This window comes from Homo sapiens, chromosome 6 (assembly GCF_000001405.40).
Source record: "Homo sapiens chromosome 6, GRCh38.p14 Primary Assembly".
NCBI classification, from domain to species: domain Eukaryota; kingdom Metazoa; phylum Chordata; class Mammalia; order Primates; family Hominidae; genus Homo; species Homo sapiens.
The window spans coordinates 47081598-47084999 of record NC_000006.12 but is presented as its reverse complement, the minus strand read 5'-3'; the positions used below and the strand labels follow the sequence as shown (position 1 = coordinate 47084999).

Sequence of the window (3402 nt, the reverse complement as noted above, 5' to 3'; positions counted from 1 at the left end):
TAGGCTCCAATAAGGCTCAGCATGATGCGGGGCTGAGCAGGATGTGCTGTGATTGGGGAAGACTTGGGAAAAGCCAAGAACAGTTTTACTGAGAACTTGGCATCATATAGGAGCTTTTGAGAATTCAGAGTGATTTGATCCACAGCTGAGGGCTTGAGGAATAGCTGGCTGCAGATTCCTAAGAAGAAGGGCAAGAAACACAGCAAACTGGAGGACTCAGTACTGTAACAGAGCCCACAGAGTGGAGAGAGCTTTGGCTGAGGAGTCAGCTACTAGTCCTAGGCCTGCCCCTAACTTCCCATGTGACCTGGCCATATCACACCCTTTCTGAGCCTCCGTTTCTACACCAGTAAAATGAAGTGGTTCTCATGCTTGTTTTATCTGGGAGCCATTTCCAAATAAATCTTATGTGGAAGCCATAGATAGAAGTAGTGCTGATCTGGTTGAGCTTGAGGTGTGCTATGATCTGAATGCTCATGTTTCCCCCAAATTCATGTGTTGAATCCTAATCCACAATGTGACGAGTATTAGCAGTGGGCGGGATTTGGTGGCGATTTGATCATGAGGTGAACCCTCATAAATGGCATTAGTGCCTTACAAAAGAAGTCCAAGAAAGATCCCTTGCCTCTTCCTGATGTGAGGTCACAGCAAGAAGATGCTGTGAGCCAGAAAGCACCCTTACCAGACACAGAATTTGCCTTGATCTTGGACTTCTCAGTTTCCAGAACTGTGGGAAATAAATTTCTGTTTATACGCTACTTAGTTTACGGTATTTTGTTATAGCAGCTGAATGGACTAGAACAGGGCGTAAAATGAAGACCCTCACCTGTTTAGTTTTCCTGGATGCCCCCAACGTGGTCTCTTATGGAAACCTCCACCATCTCAGGGGTCCTCAGAGGACAGTTTGTAAACACGGTATTAGGGAATGATTGATGTCCATTCCAGTTTCAAGATTCTATTCTAGCTCAGAAGAAAGCTCTGCCAGTACTGCATGTTGACAATTTGACAGTGAAATGTTTACCCATGTCAAAAAACCAGAGGAGCCTCCAGTCTTTGGACTGCACTTTTGGGTGTGCCCTGTTCTGTTTCTGGACACTTCCAGCCTGCAGGGCCCATGGAGTTAGCAGAAGCATCGTTAGGATTTAGTCAGCCTTACTGCGGCCAGTGCAATTATACAGTGGAGTGAGGCACACTGCCAGGATTTTAACATGAAGCAGGCACTCCTGGGGAACATTGACAAATGACCAGGGGTTGTCTGCACATGGCCAAGAGCCAGCCACAGCCAGCTGGGCTCTACTTCCTGATGAATGTGACAGTTCCTGACTTGTGAAATGTTCCAGGACTAGGAGTAAATGAATTCTAGTGGTATTCAAAACAACAACGAAGTTCTCTTCTTCTTCACTAGGGTTGTTATCAGCTGGGTTATGATTTTGGTTTGGTTTTGGTTTTAACAGCAGAGCTTTTTTACTAGTGTAAAGACTCTGTTATTCAATTGTTATGGATCTTCAAACATGTAACAGCCTACTCTTAAAACACAGGGGCTGGGAATGCAACAAGAACTATGGGACAAACAGGAATTTTAGGGTCTGGCTGTTCCCAGTTGGAACTCCAGTTCCAGTTCTTAAGAACTAGATTTCTTCAGAATACTAGCTGTGTGATATTGATCCAGTTTTTTAAACCTATCCGAACTTCAAGTTTCTTAGCTATGCAATGGAAATAAGTTATCTGATAGAACTGTTCTAAGGATTATAAATGGGATTATGTGAATAAAATTCATATAGTAAATGCTCAGTAAATGTTTCCCTCCTTTCCTTTTTCTGTAACTCTCATCTCTTTAGAGAAATAGGTCAAGAAAAGGTTGCTTAGGTCAACAATTGGATCTGTTTTATGGGATTATGCTGATTATTTTTCTTTTTCCGTTTTCTAAGGTTTTCATAGTAAGCATGTGCATCAGGATGTTTTAACTAGTCTAATACCTAACAAAATTGAAGTTTAGAAGTAGAATGGAGCTCTTATTTCTTTTTTCTTTCTTTCTTTTCTTTTTTTTTTTTTTTTTGAGACGGAATTTCACTCTTGTTGCCCAGGCTGTAGTGCAATGGCATGGTCTCAGCTCACCGCAACCTCTGCCTCCTGGGTTCAAGTGATTCTCCTACCTCAGCCTCCCAAGTAGCTGGGATTACAGGCATGTGCCACCAAGCCTGGCTAATTTTGTATTTTTAGTAGAGACAGGGTTTCTCCGTGTTGGTCAGGCTGGTCTTGAATTCCCGGCCTCAGGTGATCCACCCACCTTGGTCTCCCAAAGTGCTAGGATTACAGAGATGAGCCACAGCGCCCAGCCAGAGCTCATATTTCTGACAAAGGGCGAATTTCTCTATATAAAAAAGGATAGTAGAACTAAAATTTTTACAAGACCAGTAAGCCAATATAAAAAATGAGTTAAAAAAATAGACAGTTCATAAAATAGGAAATTCAAATAACTCTTAAATGTATAAAATAATGCTCATGATCACTCAGAGTAAGATAAATATAAATTTAAATTACACAAAGATACCATTTTTCACCAATCAGATTTGCAAAAATACAAAAGTGACAATACATTCTGTTGGGCCAGTTCTATGGAGGGTAATCTGCTATGCTTACATGTGTCACAGATGTATGCATATCTATGAACTTATATGGAAAGATCTCTAAAATATAAAGCAACAAAGGCAAAGTGTATAGAAGAATGTGTAAAATGAGCTACATTTTGTGAAAAAGGAGGACAACATTTTCTTGAAATGCAATAAAATTCTGGAAAGATACACTAAGAAGAGTATTGGAAACTGGCTGGGCACAGTGGCTCATGCCTGTAATCCCAGGACTTTGGGAGGCTGAGGCAGGCGGATCACCTGAGGTAGGAGTTCGAGACCAGCCTGGCCAACATGGTGAAACCCAATCTCTACAAAAATACAAAAAAATTAGCTGGGCATGATGGCAGGTGCCTGTAATCCCAGCTAGTCAGGAGGCTGAGGTGACAGAATCACTTGAACCCGGGAGGTGGAGGTTGCAGTGAGCCTAGATTGCACCATTGCACTCCAGCCTGGGTGATAGAGCGAGACTCCATCTCAAAAAAAAAATAAAAAGAGTATTGGAAACTGAGCAAATGACAAAGGTGGAAAGAAGATTGTTCACTGTGTATAATTTTATGATTTGTTAATTTTTAATTCTAAAAATGTATTCTTAATTTAAAAATGTTGTAATAAAACATAAAAAGTGTGTTAGGAAAGATAGAGAACATTGTATAGCCAATCAACAGTGATTGCCAAACCTGCATTAAGTTCTAATCCGATAAAGAACAATAAAATTTTTTTTTAAAGATAACAATCTTCCAATATGAGGGGGACTTTATTTCTGAAACACAGT

The 3402-nt window shown here is 40.8% G+C and overlaps 1 annotated feature.

Moving 5' to 3' along the window:
• Positions 1–201: a silencer, noted in NCBI's record as "peak5829 fragment used in MPRA reporter construct". NCBI's record gives its function as "represses an SCP1 promoter by STARR-seq MPRAs in K562 erythroleukemia cells {active_cell/tissue: K562}" and the evidence as "EXISTENCE:reporter gene assay evidence [ECO:0000049][PMID:32103011]".